General features: G+C 43.2%; 1 protein-coding gene across 2 annotated transcripts, besides 1 other annotated feature; it reads left to right on the top strand.

Annotated features, from left to right (window-relative positions):
- Window positions 1-280: a silencer, noted in NCBI's record as "silent region_1097". NCBI's record gives its function as "represses an Ori minimal core promoter by ATAC-STARR-seq in GM12878 lymphoblastoid cells {active_cell/tissue: GM12878}" and the evidence as "EXISTENCE:reporter gene assay evidence [ECO:0000049][PMID:35858748]".
- F3 (coagulation factor III, tissue factor) lies at window positions 200-12,786 on the top strand. Of its 2 annotated transcripts, NM_001993.5 has the most exons (6): window positions 200-422; window positions 1,591-1,702; window positions 5,795-5,994; window positions 8,691-8,869; window positions 9,479-9,638; window positions 11,363-12,786. In NM_001993.5, exons 1-6 carry the CDS (start codon window positions 323-325, stop codon window positions 11,497-11,499), a joined length of 888 nt encoding a protein of 295 aa, NP_001984.1. In that variant the 5' UTR covers window positions 200-322; the 3' UTR covers window positions 11,500-12,786. The 2 variants fall into 2 exon arrangements, with proteins under 2 accessions (NP_001984.1, NP_001171567.1); NM_001178096.2 differs by lacking the exon at window positions 9,479-9,638.

The following is a 19,679-nucleotide window of genomic DNA, read 5'->3' as shown; positions in this document are numbered from 1 at the left end:
TTGCAGGGTCCCGGAGTTTCCTACCGGGAGGAGGCGGGGCAGGGGTGTGGACTCGCCGGGGGCCGCCCACCGCGACGGCAAGTGACCCGGGCCGGGGGCGGGGAGTCGGGAGGAGCGGCGGGGGCGGGCGCCGGGGGCGGGCAGAGGCGCGGGAGAGCGCGCCGCCGGCCCTTTATAGCGCGCGGGGCACCGGCTCCCCAAGACTGCGAGCTCCCCGCACCCCCTCGCACTCCCTCTGGCCGGCCCAGGGCGCCTTCAGCCCAACCTCCCCAGCCCCACGGGCGCCACGGAACCCGCTCGATCTCGCCGCCAACTGGTAGACATGGAGACCCCTGCCTGGCCCCGGGTCCCGCGCCCCGAGACCGCCGTCGCTCGGACGCTCCTGCTCGGCTGGGTCTTCGCCCAGGTGGCCGGCGCTTCAGGTGAGTGGCACCAGCCCCTGGAAGCCCGGGGCGCGCCACACGCAGGAGGGAGGCGACAGTCCTGGCTGGCAGCGGGCTCGCCCTGGTTCCCCGGGGCGCCCATGTTGTCCCCCGCGCCTACGGGACTCGGCTGCGCTCACCCAGCCCGGCTTGAATGAACCGAGTCCGTCGGGCGCCGGCGGGAGTTGCAGGGAGGGAGTTGGCGCCCCAGACCCCGCTGCCCCTTCCGCTGGAGAGTTTTGCTCGGGGTGTCCGAGTAATTGGACTGTTGTTGCATAAGCGGACTTTTAGCTCCCGCTTTAACTCTGGGGAAAGGGCTTCCCAGTGAGTTGCGACCTTCAATATGATAGGACTTGTGCCTGCGTCTGCACGTGTTGGCGTGCAGAGGTTTGGATATTATCTTTCATTATATGTGCATCTTCCCTTAATAAAGAGCGTCCCTGGTCTTTTCCTGGCCATCTTTGTTCTAGGTTTGGGTAGAGGCAATCCAAAAGGGCTGGATTGCTGCTTAGATTGGAGCAGGTACAACGTTGTGCATGCCCCGTATTTCTACGAGGTGTTCGGGACGGCGTAGAGACTGGGACCTGCTGCGTACTGGCAAAGCAGACCTTCATAAGAAATAATCCTGATCCAATACAGCCGACGGTGTGACAGGCCACACGTCCCCGTGGGTCTCTGTGGAAGTTTCAGTGTAGCGACATTTCAGATAAAAGTGGAAAAAGTGAAGTTTGGCTTTTTTCATTTGTATGCAGTCCTAACTCTTGTCACACGTGTGGGATTTATCTTTTTCCATAACTTACTGAAAACCCTTCCTGGCGGGCTGAACCTGACTCTTCCTGAGCTGAGTCCTGGACTGGCACACTGATGGCTCTGGGCTCTTCCCGGTCAAGTTATAACAAGGCTTTGCCCATGAATAATTTCAAACGAAAATGTCAAGATCCTTGCCGGTGTCCTGGGATTACAAGGTGAATCTTGTCATGAAGAAATTCTAGGTCTAGAAAAAATTTGAAGATTCTTTTTCTCTTGATAATTCACTAATGAAGCTTTTGTGGTTGAAAAATAAAAAGTGAGGTTTATGGTGATGTCAGGTGGGAAGGTGTTTTATACATCAATACATTCGAGTGCTCTGAAGTGCATGTAATAATAGCTGTTTCTCTGTTGTTTAAAGGCACTACAAATACTGTGGCAGCATATAATTTAACTTGGAAATCAACTAATTTCAAGACAATTTTGGAGTGGGAACCCAAACCCGTCAATCAAGTCTACACTGTTCAAATAAGGTAAGCTGGGTACAGAAAAAGAAAATTAAGGTCTTTGATGTTTCTACTGTCCTATGCTGAACAAGAATGTCTTTAAAGCTGATTACTGGATGAAATTATTTAACAGATGACGAAGAAGAAGGGATTCTTGGCAATTCGCTGGCCGGTGTCATACTCTATTAGGCCTGCAACATTTCCAGACCTTAAACTGATAGAACATTTTAATTGTTTTAATTGTTTTTGGAAATGATGGGAGAGTTCCTAAGTGGAGTATAAACTGTGGAGAGATGAACCATCTTGAGTAGGCACTGAAGTGTGCTTTGGGTCATGATAGATTAATTAATCTCATCTAAACATTGATGTCTTTTTCTGTTGCTGTCTAGACTGTGAACAATGTCTAACACCTTAGGGAAGAGGTGGGGAGGAATCCCAATGTATACATTGCCCTTAAGCAGTGTTTGATTCATTCATCTTTGGACTCCATGAATCGAAATCTGGTAGAATACATGATCTTAGTGGAGGAGGCCAAATGCGTGACTCACTGAGCCTGGCAGAGCAGAAATACTCTGCTGTCTGCACCCTCTGGGTCTGGTGTGGCTCTGCTTCTTGGTGCCTCAACTCTGACTGGCAGCTGTCCCCAGGAGGCGATAATTCAGCATGTTCAATCTAAAGGTTATGACTTCCTTGATGGTTTTCACCATATTCTTGGCAAGTTTTTGGTTTTTGAAATGTTCTAGGAGGCTTGGTAGAGATCTTATGAAATAGAGAATAGCTGCTGTGGAAATTATTTTAATGCTAATTACATAAAAGTACAAAAGTAGCACTAGCTAAAACAAAAGGTATTTTGCTGTTCTGTTTTGTTTTAGCTTGTGCCAGGCCTTTTACAGCATTAGGAATGCAACTTCTAGATAACGATGCATCTTTTAAGTGAATGTTCTTGTTTTTCAAAATGAACTTCATGACAGTAGTTGCCAAACCAGCAAGGAGAACTTGCATGCATACGTGCATGCATGTGTGGATATGTATGGGGGTGGGGGGAGAGAAAGATGAAGGAATTTCATAACATGAAATAATGATTACAGTTCTGGTCAAACTTGTCAATTCAGATTTCACCAATTGAGAATTAGTAAGTAATTTCTCTGATACAGGCCTGAAGTTTACCTTAGTAAACACTTTACTTCCATATGGTAAAAATTAGATTTTGGGAGGAATGCTTACCTCCTAAATATATTCAATCTAATATTTGAGGGACACATGGGAATATATTTATGATTCATCTGCTTTTTAAACATAAGCCTTTGTTAACTGTAAGTTCTTGAACTTTATAAGGCTGCTGTTATTTAAATGAGCACAGCTCCTGATCTGCAAACAGCAGAGCGCAGGGCTACAGCTTGGGGGATGCCAGCCGACTCAGGGTGGTCCTATGGACTGAACAATCTCTTGCTGCTGTACTGGAGGGCCTGGGAGCTTTTCCATCAGCCTCGGCCTGAGGTGTGCACTCTTCTCCTGCCCACCCCAGGAATAAATGAGATTCCTGGTTAAAAAGGACCAGAGCAGTCATTTTACAGTTGAGGAAACTGTTGCTCTGAGAAGTGAGGGATTTATTCATGACTACACTGATGGTGAGTGCCCATGTCAGGTCTGGAACCAAAGTCTACCCAGTATCCACACACCACCATCCCTCAGGTGGCTCTGCCACAGTCTGATGGGAGGCTCCAAAGCGGGAGGAAGAAGGAAAGTCTTGCCCACTGCATCTCCTCAGTTGGCCTTCCTCTCTGCCTGTTTTCCCTCCCTACAGTTAGCATCTTAAGCAGCTGCCCCTCTTCCCTCCCGACTGCTCTCACTACTGCAGCCTGGCTCCAGCCGCAGGACACTACTGCTGTGCAGAAGCCCCTACTTGGAACTCCAACTGCATTTTTCACCTTTGCTAACAGTTTTCAGTGGTGGTTGGGAAATGTTATTGGCTTAAGCCTTAGCACAAACCGTCACCGGTGATATTCATTCCATGGAAATGTTCTGAATTCTAAAGCTGAATTTACAAAGCTTCTGGAAAACAACCTGCAACCAAATTAGTGACTGAATTTTTTAGTTAACTCAAAATTCCAAATCAGAGGGTTTTGCAATGCCTGGAGGAACCTTGGAGGCTTTTAAAGTGTTAATGCTATTAATGGCATTCAGAGGGATTTTCTACAGAATTGTCCCTTCATTACCTGTTTATACAGTTTTACTACTTACCAGGGTACTGTATAAATCCTTGTGCTAAATTTTGCTATAGAGTATGTGGTCCCTGCTGTGAGCTGGGAGGAACCAAATACTGTATCTCTATGTTACATAGAAAGCCCTAGGAGACTTTCTCCTGTTATCTGAACAACTATTTGCTGTACTGATAAAAAGGAAACAGCATAGTCTCATTCACTTTTTGAAATGGAAATGATAAAATAAAACACATTTTGGTCATTCGGGAACAAAATACCCTCTCTACTTTTATCACATAAAATTAAATAAATAGAAACCAAAATATTTCAGTATCAATCTTAGTTTGTGCACTTTAGGATAAAGAATGTGTTTACCCAAATCCTTTTGGCCTGGTTACTTAGTTCAGATTTTGAAAGAAAATATATTTGTGGCTTTTATGTGTGAATTTAGACAATGGAATCCATGTGGTGCCTCGTTTTCCCTGAGATTATGTATTAATTCAACCTGTAAATGCAAACCATCTAATAGTCAGCGAGACCCTATAGCCCTGCTGCTTAATGGGGGCACACAAGGGCATGCAGCCCTCGTACCAGGCAGACTGTGTTCATATTAACAGCATCGTGGAGAAACTCATGCTGGGGGACAGGGGAGGGAGATGTAAATGCTCAGCAGGGAGATCTGGAGATTCCTGGAGCAGGTGGAGTTGGGACCTGGCCTTGAACGATGGGTCTGGCTCTGGCAGTCAGTAATGCCAAAGGGAAGAGCAGCATAACTGTCACTTTCCATGGGACAGAAGTGTGTGAATCAAGTTGCAGTGACGCTTCACCTATTTATTATTTTGGTCATTTAGAAGAATTTCATTGTCAGTAGAAGTCCTTTAAATCATTTCCCCTTCAGTGACGTCTCACAAAAGAAAGATCTGTCTTTAGCTTTTTAGTCTCAGACTTTATTAGACAGATACTACCTGTACTCTTATTCTGTAATCTTTGTTGGGATGGATTCACATCTTGCAAAGGAAGGGAGGCATGTAGTATAATGGGGCAAACAGACCCAGCTCTGCCACTCGTTAGATATGTGACCTTCTGCAAGTTGCTTAGTGCCTGTGAGCTTCAGTGTCCTCATGGATAAGAAAGATCCAACACCTTCTTGGAAGGATTATATCAAATGAAGTAACATGAGTAAAGGGTCCAGCAGAATACCTGGCATATAGTGGAGTCAATGAATGATTAATAATATTATTAATAGTGGTCATGAGAGAATATATGTATAACATGTTATTATGTAGACTCACTATATAGACTCTATTCTACATAGAATATAGAACATTATATAACAAACAACTATAATAAGTAGACTATAGTAAACAACCTCACTTTGTCTCAGTTGCCTCATCTTGATGGAAAACTGCTCTTTCTCTCCTGTTACCCTGACAGAGAGCGTCTACATTCTAAAAGAAAGATATTTAACAAAATGGTTGAGTACAGATCCAAGAGTCAAATAGCTGTCTGGTTCAAAGTCCAGCTGTGTGATTTTGAGCTAGTCACCCAATCTCACTTTGTCTCAGTAGCCTTATTTGTAAAAACAAGGCAAATTACAGAGCCATCCCCTGGGTTGCTATGAGGACTCAAACATGCATCCCAAGTGCTCGGTGTTGCTAGGTATGATGGCTCACACCTGTACATTCAGCACTTTGGGAGGCCGAAGCAGAAGGATCAGCCTGGGCAACATAGCAGGACCCCATCTCTACAAAACAATGTTTAAAAAAAAGCAAAGTGCTCAGCACAGTGACTGCATCATTAGGATTGATTGTAGGGCTCCTGATGTTAGCACAGAACACCACAGCCAGGAAGCAGTCTATCTTGTTGGGTGCAAATTGTAACATTCCATTTATGTTTCTTCCTTCTTTTCTTTCTTTAGCACTAAGTCAGGAGATTGGAAAAGCAAATGCTTTTACACAACAGACACAGAGTGTGACCTCACCGACGAGATTGTGAAGGATGTGAAGCAGACGTACTTGGCACGGGTCTTCTCCTACCCGGCAGGGAATGTGGAGAGCACCGGTTCTGCTGGGGAGCCTCTGTATGAGAACTCCCCAGAGTTCACACCTTACCTGGAGAGTAAGTGGCTTGGGCTGTAATACCGTTCATTCTTGTTAGAAACGTCTGAACATTCTCGTGATCTTGTGCCTTTAGGGGCTACAAAATTAAAAATATTTATTCTTTTTTTCTCAGAAACTGGTATGTATCACAGCCCTCTTCACACATTCCAGATGTGGTAGGAGGTTCACAGAATGTGAACTTTGGAGCTGATGACAGTGTCATCAAGTAACTTTCTCCCCCAGTCTGTCCCCAGACCCTGTTACTGTCCTCAGTAACCGGCTGAATGTGTGTTGGGAGAGGGCGGGCCAGGGAAGCGGGTAGGGATAGGAAATCCACCAAGGCCGGGGTTTTAGCTTTTCCCTATATATATATCATGTATCCTGATTTTTCTGTCCCGTTATCACACTAAAAATCCCAGTTGAGGATTTTTCCCAAACGGTCATAAATCAATGAGGAAAGTCCATGGTTTCCCTCTGAGCCCATAATTAGCCTAATTATGCTGACCTTTTCTAATCAGTTGGCCATGATTTGAGTTCCGTGATGTGCCAGCACCTGCCCAGCCATCTGCCTGTCACCCTCGTTCTGGTTTTGGAAAGGTGGAATACTTTCCTCCTCAGCCTTTGCCCCTGTAAGCTGGCCCTAGGAGCCAGTAAAAGAATGAAGAGAATTCCTGTCAAGTAGGAGATTTATTCTTTTGCCGCAACTGTGGCTCTGAGCTAGGCAATTTAGATAAATGCATGTAGCACATTGAGTAGAGTGAAATTAGCTTCTCTTGTAAGGCCAGCTGGTTAGAATGAAGGTGTTGTGTGAGTGTTAGGCCCAGCGAGAGAGAACAGTTTCTCAAGGTAGGAATGGTGAAAAGAAGGGGTGGACGGACAACCAACCAACCATCCTCCTCTGGTATCTACTTTGAGGGTTGAAATAGGGGGCCTGACCCCAGGTGAATGTGGCTGCCTTCCCAGAGCCCCCATTTGCAAGACCCTCCAGACCCCCAGGTGCTTCTGCTTGTGTCTTTTGTGGCACCAGGCAAGAATGTAGCAGCGTCAGCAGCCCCTCTGGTGACTGTGGCATGGTTGACATTCATTTCCCCCCTAATTAATGGCATCCTCATGATTCTCTTTTATATTAATAGTTCTTGAGTTTTTTTGTAAGCTACTTCAAATCCTTTGTTGGTGCAAGATAGAAGATATTTTATGTGTTTGTTTTGCATGTGCACACACATATTTGGCCTGTGAATTGATGTTTGTTTTCCTGTCATTTAACCAAAGCACATGAGATAATTGAGCCATTGCAGAGACCCCGTGGTTAAATCCGGCTTCTCGAGGTACCAAGGACATTTCCTGGGCTTTCTCACAGCCCTACATATTTTTGAACCTAAAATATCGTAGTTTATGCTACCACCCTGTTCAGTATAGTAGCCACTAGCCACATGTGGCTGTTGACCACTTGAAATATGGCTAATGCTCTAAGTATAAAGTACACACTGGAATTTAAGAAGTGTAGAATATCTCAAAACTTTTTTATATTGATTACACATTAAAATGATTATATTCCAGATATATGCAGTTGACTCAAGCAATGCATGGCTGAGAGGCACCGACTCCCTGTGCAGTTGAAAATCCGAGTATAACTTGACTCCCCAAAAACTTAACTACTAATAGCCTACCTATCGGTTGACTGTTGACTGCAGCCTTACCAATAAGATAAACAGTCAATTAACACACATTTTTCATGTTGCGTGTATTATATACTGTATTCTTACAATAAAGTAAGCTAGAGGAAAGAAAATGTTATTAAGAAAATTATAAGGAAAAGAGGCTGGGCATGGTGGCTCGTGCCTGTAATCTCAGAACTTTGGGATGCTAAGGCGGGTGGATCACTTGAGGTCAGGAGTTCAAGACCAGCCTGGCCAACATGGTGAAACCCCATCTCTACTAAAAATACAAAAATTAGCCAGGCGTGGTTGTGGGTGCCTGTAATCCCAGCTACTTGGGAGGCTGAGGCAGGAGAATCACTTCAACCCAGGTGGAGGAGGTTGCAGTGAACTGAGATTGCGCCACTGCACTCCGGCCTGGGTGACAGAGCGAGACTCTGTCTAAAAAAGAAAGGGAAAGAAAGAAAAAAAAGAAAAGAAAAGAAAAGAAAGAAGGAAGGAAGAGAAAGAATTATAAGGAAGAGAAAATATATTTACTATTGATAAAGTGGAAGTGGATCATCATAAAGGTGTTCATCCTCGTCATCTTCATGTTGAGTAGGCTGAGGAGGAGGAGGAGGAGGAAGAGCAGGGGCCACGGCAGGAGAAAAGATGGAGGAAGTAGGAGGCGGCACACTTGGTGTAACTTTTATTTAAAAAAATTTGCATACAAGTGGATCCACAGAGTTCAAACCCATGTTGTTCAGGGGTCAACTGTCTTTGGTTAAATAAAATATATTATTAAAATTAATTTCACCTGTTCCTTTTTACTTTTTCTAATGTGACTACTAGAAAACTTAAAATGACATCTGAGGCTCCATTGTCTTCCCCTTGGGCCAGCACTACCACAGAATGTCTTAGGATTCAGCTCCAGGCCGCCACGCCTGCTTCTTTCAGGGAGCTGGTTCTATGCACATGTTTTATATGAGAGATAATTAAGTTGTCAATTGTGATAACAAAACAGGATTTGACTTTGTACAGAATTCTTTGGTTCCAACCAAGCTCATTTCCTTTGTTTCAGCAAACCTCGGACAGCCAACAATTCAGAGTTTTGAACAGGTGGGAACAAAAGTGAATGTGACCGTAGAAGATGAACGGACTTTAGTCAGAAGGAACAACACTTTCCTAAGCCTCCGGGATGTTTTTGGCAAGGACTTAATTTATACACTTTATTATTGGAAATCTTCAAGTTCAGGAAAGGTGAGCATTTTTTAATTTGTTTTTATGACCTGTTTTAAATTGTGAATACTTGGGTTTTACAACCCATTTCTTCCCCAATTCAAAAATAGCAGAACAGAGTTGTTGAGAAGGTGATGGAGTAGAAGGGGGAGCGCGCACTGTGGGGAGGGGTGGACAACAGGCCTGGTCCTACCTGTGACTCTGCACTACCCTGTGACTCTGGGCAGGGCCCCCTCGGAGACCCAGGTTCCTCAGCCAACCGGCTGGATCAGGTCATCTCTAAAGGTCCCGCCATGCTCACATTTCTCCCTCTATTGAGGATCCCAGGCACAAAATTTGTTTTTGGTTCAATGCATAATACTCCCTTCCTTTTTCTTTTACTGCAGATATCTTCTAAAGGGGCTCAATAGGGTTCAATATGCCTAAATTGGATCTTCTCAGTCTTGGAAAAGGCATTTTTAGCAGTGATCAAGGGAAACTGATTAGCGAAGTCACTTCTAATCCTTCACGTGTCAGCTGTGTTCTTGTAGGCTTTGCTTAGAACCTAGGTTTTTACTTCCACAGTGACTTAATAAAGGGGAAAGAATTGACTCAGAGCCCAGATGAATTAAGAACTCTATCTTTTTACAGAAAACAGCCAAAACAAACACTAATGAGTTTTTGATTGATGTGGATAAAGGAGAAAACTACTGTTTCAGTGTTCAAGCAGTGATTCCCTCCCGAACAGTTAACCGGAAGAGTACAGACAGCCCGGTAGAGTGTATGGGCCAGGAGAAAGGGGAATTCAGAGGTGAGTGGCTCTGCCAGCCATTTGCCTGGGGGTATGGGTGCTGTGGGTGACTTCTGGAGGAGTAGCTCCACCCTCAGGGCTGGGATATACTTCCTTGGTTAAATATTCAGGAAAACAAACTGCCTGGAGGTTTTTTGTTGTTATTTGTTTGTTTTGGTTTTGATTTTGCTTTGGTACAAAAAAGATTTTGGACATTTAGAAATGTTTCTGTGTTGATTGTGCCCTTGTATTAGCAGGTGTTTTCTTGAGCACCTGTCATGTGCTAAGCCCTCTGCTGAGCACTGGATACACAAACTGTGTTTAGGATTTAGCAACAAGTCACAGATTTCCCTGGGCATTTTTTCATGCTTAAATTCTAATTCTGGGGGTGGCTTCTGGACCAGCTGCAGCAGGACACAGTAGACATTCGTGAGTACCCACTGTGGGCTGTTGCCACAGAGGCTGTAGAGTCTAACCCATCAAGGGAAGGGATTGAGTATATCAAATATACCCACATGCATGCATGTGTGTATATGGCGGACACGTGTGTGTACATGCATGTGCATATGTTGGGAGCTCAGGCCCATTGTGCGAGGAACAGTCCCTAACCGGAAGTGCTGTGGGCCTTCAGACTCTTGCAGGAAGCTGCAAGCCTGTGTGTCTCGATCCATGCCTTACAGGGAAAGTATTCTGAGTACTTCCAGTGAAGAAAAGAGTCAGGGGATATAAACGATGGCTTACGCTGGGTGTGGTGGCTCACGCCTGTAGTCCCTGCACTTTGGGAGGCCCAGACAGGCAAATCACTTGAGGTCAGGAGTTTGGGACCAGCCTGGCCAACATGGTAAAAGCCCATCTCTACTCAAAATACAAAAAGTAGCTGGGTGTGGTTGCACGTGTCTGTAGTCCCAGCTACTCAGGAGGTTGAGGCAGGAGAATTGCTTGAACCTGGGAGGCGGAGGCTGAAGTGAGCTGAGATTGGACCACTGTACTCCAGCCTGGGTGACAGAGCGAGATTCCATCTCAAAAAAAAAAAAAAAAGAAACAACGAAAAAAGAAATGATGGCTTAGCTCCATGTGAAGATGATATTTGAACATTTTAAAACACTTTAAATAAACTGTTCTCTCCTGTTTATTGCCACTGACAGGAGAGGTTTCTCTTTACCTCTGGTCCTGCACCCCTCTGAGCCATCCTACCCACAGCCTTCAGTCATTGTCCTAAAGCCTAGCTCTAATTCCACTGCCTCTCCTTTTGTGCACACACACTTCTCTGCTTCCCTGGCCGTTCTCTATCTTGGAGAGGCATTTCAAACGCCACTTCCACCAGAAGGCCTTGCTACTGCACCAACTAGTTACTATCTCTTCTTCACCCAAATCCTGGTAGCACTTTGGATCTCCCACTTTGCACTTAGGGTTCACCTTCCGTTATAATCATTGCCATCAATCTCAGCATCGTTTTTAGGCACTTCTTTCCAGCCATTGTTCTTACCTCCAACTACATATCTTTTCTGGACTGTGCATTATTCAGTTTATTAAATGCCCATTAAATGTGTTTAGCCATTGTCAATTACTCTGAAACGTTCAGGTTTTGACAAATTCTTTCCTAATGTAAGTGTGGTGGAAAGAGTGAAAGAAAGTCAAATTGCACAAAAATAGGATGGTGTAATTTGGGGTTATGCCGTCAATTTTGTCCACTGATAAATGGGATTTGAGCTCTCCAAGTTGACTAGATGCCCTTTATTTTTCAGAAATATTCTACATCATTGGAGCTGTGGTATTTGTGGTCATCATCCTTGTCATCATCCTGGCTATATCTCTACACAAGTGTAGAAAGGCAGGAGTGGGGCAGAGCTGGAAGGAGAACTCCCCACTGAATGTTTCATAAAGGAAGCACTGTTGGAGCTACTGCAAATGCTATATTGCACTGTGACCGAGAACTTTTAAGAGGATAGAATACATGGAAACGCAAATGAGTATTTCGGAGCATGAAGACCCTGGAGTTCAAAAAACTCTTGATATGACCTGTTATTACCATTAGCATTCTGGTTTTGACATCAGCATTAGTCACTTTGAAATGTAACGAATGGTACTACAACCAATTCCAAGTTTTAATTTTTAACACCATGGCACCTTTTGCACATAACATGCTTTAGATTATATATTCCGCACTCAAGGAGTAACCAGGTCGTCCAAGCAAAAACAAATGGGAAAATGTCTTAAAAAATCCTGGGTGGACTTTTGAAAAGCTTTTTTTTTTTTTTTTTTTTTTTTGAGACGGAGTCTTGCTCTGTTGCCCAGGCTGGAGTGCAGTAGCACGATCTCGGCTCACTGCACCCTCCGTCTCTCGGGTTCAAGCAATTGTCTGCCTCAGCCTCCCGAGTAGCTGGGATTACAGGTGCGCACTACCACGCCAAGCTAATTTTTGTATTTTTTAGTAGAGATGGGGTTTCACCATCTTGGCCAGGCTGGTCTTGAATTCCTGACCTCAGGTGATCCACCCACCTTGGCCTCCCAAAGTGCTAGTATTATGGGCGTGAACCACCATGCCCAGCCGAAAAGCTTTTGAGGGGCTGACTTCAATCCATGTAGGAAAGTAAAATGGAAGGAAATTGGGTGCATTTCTAGGACTTTTCTAACATATGTCTATAATATAGTGTTTAGGTTCTTTTTTTTTTCAGGAATACATTTGGAAATTCAAAACAATTGGCAAACTTTGTATTAATGTGTTAAGTGCAGGAGACATTGGTATTCTGGGCACCTTCCTAATATGCTTTACAATCTGCACTTTAACTGACTTAAGTGGCATTAAACATTTGAGAGCTAACTATATTTTTATAAGACTACTATACAAACTACAGAGTTTATGATTTAAGGTACTTAAAGCTTCTATGGTTGACATTGTATATATAATTTTTTAAAAAGGTTTTCTATATGGGGATTTTCTATTTATGTAGGTAATATTGTTCTATTTGTATATATTGAGATAATTTATTTAATATACTTTAAATAAAGGTGACTGGGAATTGTTACTGTTGTACTTATTCTATCTTCCATTTATTATTTATGTACAATTTGGTGTTTGTATTAGCTCTACTACAGTAAATGACTGTAAAATTGTCAGTGGCTTACAACAACGTATCTTTTTCGCTTATAATACATTTTGGTGACTGTAGGCTGACTGCACTTCTTCTCAATGTTTTCTCATTCTAGGATGCAAACCAATGGAGAAGCCCCTAATTAGATCAGGGCAGAGGGAAAAACAAAAAACTGGTAGAAACCGGCAACCACAGCTTCAAGCTTTAAGCCCATCTCCTACACTTCTGCTCTGTAGGTGCCCATTGTCACTTCTGTTCACATGCTACTGTCCCAAGCAAGTGACCAAGCCTGACAATACTTTGTCTACTGGAGTCACTGCAAGGCACATGACGGGGCAGGGATGTCGTCTTACAGGGAAGAGAAAAGATAATGCTCTCTACTGCAGACTTGGAGAGATTTCTTCCCATTGGCAGTAGTTTGACTAATTGGAGATGAGAAAAAAAGAAACATTCTTGGGATGATTGTATTGAAACAAAATTAGGTAAAAGGACAATATAGGATAGGGAGAGATATAAGTGGAATGAGATCTCTAGAGTCCATTAAAAGCAAGCTAGATTGAGAGCTCTTGGAGGGCAGGGACTGGGCCTAGCTCATGGTTTACAGCTCTTGAGGGTGACTGCACAGTGGACTCAGTCAGTCATGGCTGAGTTGAGTTGGCTTTATTATCTCTAGAATGTAGTTCTCCATTCAAATGCAAAACAGCCTTATTCTCTCAACTGTAGTAAAAGAGGATTCTAACTAGAGATGAAAAAGGTTCTTGGCACCTACTGGGCCACAAGACTGCTTTTGCTTCCCACTGTGGAAGGGGGCACTGTTATCTAGGAAAAACATCCAGATGGCACACCTACTCAGAAGTGGTTCCACAAAGAAATTGAGCAAGCATTCAGATGAGCAGCCTCAGCTCACTATCTAGCTGTTAATAAATTTTAAGTCCGTTTTGTTCCTTTGCACCAAAGAAATTGAACAATGTCAATAAAATTCCAAACATGAACTGTTTTATGTAACACCACATCCTAAGGAAGAATGCCTGAAACAAACCTTTGATGTCCTCATAAAAATGATAGCCATTTTGGAGAAATTATGGAAAACAGACCAGTGGTTGGTTTATTTGGTTGGTTTTGTTTATTATTACTTTTTTTTGGCCATCAACACAGAGGCTAGAGAGGTTGAATCTTGCACTGTTGTAGTGTTTTGTTATACAGAGAAAAGGGATGTATTTGCAGCAGAGTCAACAAAAAAGAAACTGGCATGGGGGCACATCCTCAAGGTGCTTCAACCTTTATCTCAAATTCCTGCTCACATGGGGCTACCTGGGACAAAGAGCTTAGTGCATTACATGAGGAGGCAGAACAAGCTACAGCAGAAGGTGCCTAACCAGATATTTCCCTGCCAGGATTAATTATAGCATTATGTAATTTCTTGGCCTCATTATCTAAGGAATTTGAATTATTCCACTAAGGAAAATACTGGCAGATAGAAAACAGGTCTGGGTACTAATGAGGAATCTGGCTGATCACAAGGAAGGGATTCATTATGGACTGGAATGAGGCTGAACTGCAATAATCAGAAAGCTTCCACACAGCAAATGTTAACCACTCCCTACTTTGCCACATCCCTCTGAATTGCTGAGACCTAACAGCCGATACTAAAAATCAGCACTGTGATTGACACTGGGGCAGAAACCATACCAAAGACTGTTGGCTGCAATCCAGAAACTGTTGCCCTCCAGTGGACCAAATTATACTTCATTACTTGACCAGTAATGTACCCCATAGAGCTAATTGTTAGTTAACCAAACTATCATGCATTCTTTGTTTTGTTTTGTGAGACAGTCTGGCTTTGTCTCCAGGCTGGAGTGCAGTGGTGAGATCTCGGCTCACTGCAACCTCTGCCTCCCAGGTTCAAGCGATTCTCGTGCCTCAGCCTTCTGAGTAGCTGGGATTACAGGTGTGAGCCACCATCCCTGGCTAATTTTTGTATTTTTAGTAGAGATAGGGTTTTGCCATGTTGGCAAACTCCTGACTTCAAGTGATCCACCCACCTCGGCCTCCCAAAGTGCTGAGATTATAGGCGTGAGCCACCATGCCCAGCCCTTTCATGCGTTCTAAAGATATTTTTCCAATCTTAAATTATTAACTGAATTTGGCTTACATATAAGAAACTAATACTCATGAAATCCAAAGACATTTTAGCTTAATTTCAGCTGATGGCTTATAATCTAAGGAACTGCCCCTTAAACAATTATCTCTATTCATCAAATGGTGAATAAACTCGTTCCCAAATGCTCTTTTTACCTGTTCTAGGACATGTGTACTTAATTGTGTGATTTTCCTCCAATAGTTGCTTGGAAGGTTTATTACTGTTATGACATCCTCCGACTTTCGTTCAGATACTTAGAATGAATGCTTATGCTCTCCTTTCCCATAGCCCTTGCTTTTCGACTGTGATCTAGGTGATTCCAGCTTTGCCAGTCAGCACATTCCTTCTTCATGGCTGCAAAAATTGGTTTAGAGGTAGGCATGTGACCTAACCAAGACTAAGAGGAGTGTATATCAAGGCTTTTTTCTGGGAATGGCAGGATGCTCTTTCTTGATGAACATAGTGAAGAGACGTAGCCACAAGAGCTGCTGGCAGCAGTCTTGAGACCACAAAGGGAGCCAGCTTTACATGGAGCTGACATATTGGAGAGCAGTGCAGAGCAATTGTAAAAAGTGAAGTCTTTGCTTTTCATTCCTTTGGCAAGACCTTTGAATTTCACATTTGTTTCACATGTGTTTGTAACCACTCTTTGAGACATGTTATAGATGACTGCTTAAAAAAAAAGAAAAAAGAAGTGAAGTCTTTGGTGACAGCACCAAGCTGCTAGATCAAGCCTTGCTCAAAGTCCCAACCCATGGACTTTTCACTGGACATTATCTGACTAATTGTTTAAGCGAGCTGAGTCAGGTTTTCTGTTCCTTGCAGTCAAAAGCACCCTATCATGTTGTATAAGCGCTGACCATCAAATATAAACACAAAGAGAAGGTCCCTAGAATGTGAACTTATAGTGTAAAATAACATTTCATTTTCATGCCTTTTCAATTACTTAATGACACTGCCCCCTAAAATTATCCCCTCATTCCAGCCGTATAAATCTCTCCCGTATTATTTGATCATTCCTAGCAGAAGATAAACATCCTGTATTATTTTCTACCTTATAAAAAACAAGTTTCCTTTGATCCCTGGAATCCCTCATCTGGATTTTCTCCTTAACTTCCTATTCCCTCTTGGACACCATCTTCTTTCCAACTTCTAAATATTGGATTAACTTAGTGCTTGAACTAAGATAATTAGTTCTCATTAGTTCTCCCATTCTCTATCAATAATCACTCTCTAGGTAATATATTCAAGTCCATGGCTCTATCATGCCAGATGCCCATAATATCTAGATGCTGATGACTCCCAAATACGTGTCACAGCCTCCAACCTCTTTTCTGAACTCCAGAGCTGCACTGTTGATCCAAATACTTACACAAACTCTCTCCTTGGATAGCTAACAGGCATCTTAATCTCAACACATGCAAAGAGAATCTTTAATTTCTCCCAAACCCAAAACCTGTTTTTCCCCTAGTCTTTCCCATTTTAAGAAACAGCCACCATTGGCTCAGGCCAAAACTTCTTGGTGTTATCATTGACTTATCTTTCTTCTCCCATGCCACATTCAATCCATCAGCAAAGCCTGCTATCTCTACCTTTAAAATACACCCCAATTCCAAAGGTCACCTCCTCTGCTCTCCCTCTACTTCAAGCCATTCTCCTGTCTCACTGGAAGACTGCAATAGCCTCCTGGCTAGCCTCCTGTTCCCACAGTTACTCCCCTACAGTCTATTTTCCTCGCAACACCTAAGTAACCCTTTTACAAGTAATAAATTATGTTTTAATGGGTATTGTTGTCAACTCTATGCTCATAGGGTTCTATGAGCAATTTTATAATGTGTCAATTTGGCTAATCCGGAACTATGTTTCCCAGAGTTATGGTCCCTGTATGGTTCTAGATTATAGTTAACTGAAAGAGATATTTTCACAAGATTTGGACAGGAGAAGTGAAGTGGCAGCCATTTGGTCATCATGGTTAGAGGTGGCGAGAGACAAATGCAGGGATGCTCCCAGATTCTAGCTTGCCCTGGCTCTCCCTGACTCTGTGACTCTATTTCTAACTCAATTCTCATTCTGCTGACCATTAGGGACCCCAGGCCCCACACTGGATCTAGAGCAATCTTCCACCAGCTCTCCTTCACCAGCTCTCTCTCTCTCAAAGTCCAAGGAGGAAATGACCATATTCTTCTGTGGGGATCCACAAAGTCTTCAAAGATGAGGTGGATGTGAAGGAAGGAATGATCCTTCCTTCTACAGACCCACCGGCTTCCAGAGAAGAGCACCCAATGGATGAGGACCAAAAGGCTGCTCAGTGCAGGCCAGTGCATGCACCAGGAGCCTCCTGTCCAGCCTTTCACCGTTTAGTGCAACTTCCTACTCCAGAGCCACGAGACTTCATGACTTCCCATACACGAGGCCCCATAGTGGTACAAATAGAAGAACAGAGTCCACGGACACAATAGTAGTATTTTTCATTTCTCTAACACGTGGTTTTTTTATTTAGGCTTCCTTTCCACCAGATGATAGAAACCATCCAAAGCAATTTGGTGACTCCCTCTGGGTTACCTACCTTTCCACTGGAGTTGTGTTCAAGTGCACATCCCGCCACCACTGTAACTGCCCTCTAGATCCCTCCACTTCCCCTCTAACCTCTCCCTCCAGCTTGGAAAGTCCTTTTCAAGTCTGAGAGTGGCAGGCTGGGGTGGGGAAGCCTCTGTCCTACTTGTTGCCATGTTCTCTTTTAAATCTGTGGTCTATGCACTAGTCCTGCTGTTCACACTGTCCTGAACCACAGGAGAATCCACTTTTCTCTGCTTTCAGCTGCCATATCCCTTCCAGAGACAGTGATCACAGAACTACTGAGCTAACTAAATGGGGAAAAGGGCCAAGGATCAAAAGACAGACCTGGGTAAAAACATAGATGGATAATTCTTTTATTTATTTATTTTTTTGAGACGGAGTCCCACTCTGTTGCCGAGACTGGAGTGCAGTGGAGGGATCTTGGCTCACTGCAACCTCCACCTCCCAGGTTCAAGCGATTCTGCTGCCTCAGCCTCCCGAGTAGCTGGGACTACAGGCATGTGCCACCGCGCTCGGCCTTTTTGTAAAAAAAAAAAAAAAAAAAAAAAATGGGGTTTCACCATGTTGGCCAGGCCAGTCTTGAACTCCTGACCTCAAATGATCCGCCCACCTCGGCCTCCGAAAGTGTTGGGATTACGGGCGTGAGCCACTACGCCCAGCCACAGATGGATATTTCAAAGGATACCATTTCACCATTCCAACTAATGAAAGGATTTAAAAATCATTAAAGTGTCAATGATTCATAATATTTTATCAAGAGTCATACTCTTAAAATGAAAAAAAAATGAGAGTAAAGGTAGAATTTTACTCATCAGCTGTTGTGAAGGCATTTGGTGCGAAGGTGGAGGAGCCTTTTTTCTCCTAAATCCAGATACATGCTCGTCTGCCATTCTGTAGCAGACCCCTGTGCCTTTCTGACATCTCCCTCATCCTGCTACACTTTCCTCCATGCCTGGGGGCCCAATTGTCCATATTTATTTTTAATATTCTTTTTTTAAGCCAGACTATTTCCTTTTAAAGAAAAGCTATCTGCATGGTGGCAAAGATTAAATCTTGTGTGCATATCTGATTCTCTGAAGAAATTTTGTTCATTTTCTTGAATGCATCCAAACCATTGCTTTATTCCACTGTTAGTTTAATCTGACGGTTCCCAAAGTGTAGTCCCAAGACCAGCAGCATTTGTGTCACCTGAGAACGTGGTAGCAATGCAAATTCTTGACCTTGACTGCAGACTTACCAAATTAGCAATCTATGTTTTAACAAGAAGCCCTTCAAGTGATTCTAATGCCCACTAAAGTTTGAGAACCACTGGCTTGATCTATTAATGACCGCGATCAGCAATACGTGTTTACTATTTACTGCAGAGAGTCTGGAAGTAGTCACAGACCCAAATGGCGCTTCCCAGGCCTTGGAGAAATCAGAATGCAACCTGCTCTGAAGCCAAAACAAATTAAGAATACATAGAGCATAGACAAGTCTCCATCTGTAGACTGCACACTCCCTGTAAAGTTTGTTATATATGAGTCTGTTAGGATTTTTCTGGTTGCAAGGAACAGAAACTCAAGACAGCTTAAGCAAAAATGGGAAAATTTTTTTCAGGTGCGCTCATTGGTCTAAGATCTTTAGCCCCTTTTCACTTAAATCCTATGATTATACATTATTAAAGCATCAATAATTAATACTTTAAAATCACTGTATTTCTGGGTGAAATGAAAATTAAAAATTCAGGAATTTTGAAACCGAGAAGCTGAAATTCATCTTGAATATATACAATTTAATAAACCTTAAAAATAGGGATCTAAAGGAGTTGTAAGAAAAAATTTTTTGACATGACAATCTTTACCCAGCCTGATTCTCAAAAACCAACCAAACAACTATGCTCCATTTGCAAAGCAATTTGTCTTCTCCAAGCATATTTCAGGCCGGAGAATAAGAGATGTAACAGAAACTCAGAGGGGCAGGAAATGCTTTTTCCCTTGCATATATTAACATCATTTGGGACGGGAAGCGTCCTTTACAACTAAGATTGTGGCGCCATCTTGAGTTCCTGAGAAGGACAGATAACTTGACTGAAATGTTCACAGACTGGATTATAAAAGAACTAAAGGAATTGTAAATAAAATCCAGAATACCTGTAGGTGATTAAGCATGAAGGAACATGAAAGGGAAGCCTGAATAAATGAACCCAGAGAATATTCTGCAGATTTCTGCAACTGTACCTGTGATGGCCTCTCTAGTCTATAGCCAGAGCTC

Source organism: Homo sapiens, chromosome 1 (assembly GCF_000001405.40).
Source record: "Homo sapiens chromosome 1, GRCh38.p14 Primary Assembly".
NCBI lineage: Eukaryota > Metazoa > Chordata > Mammalia > Primates > Hominidae > Homo > Homo sapiens.
The sequence above is the reverse complement of the archived record's forward strand: the minus strand, read 5'-3'. Positions and strand labels throughout refer to the sequence as shown.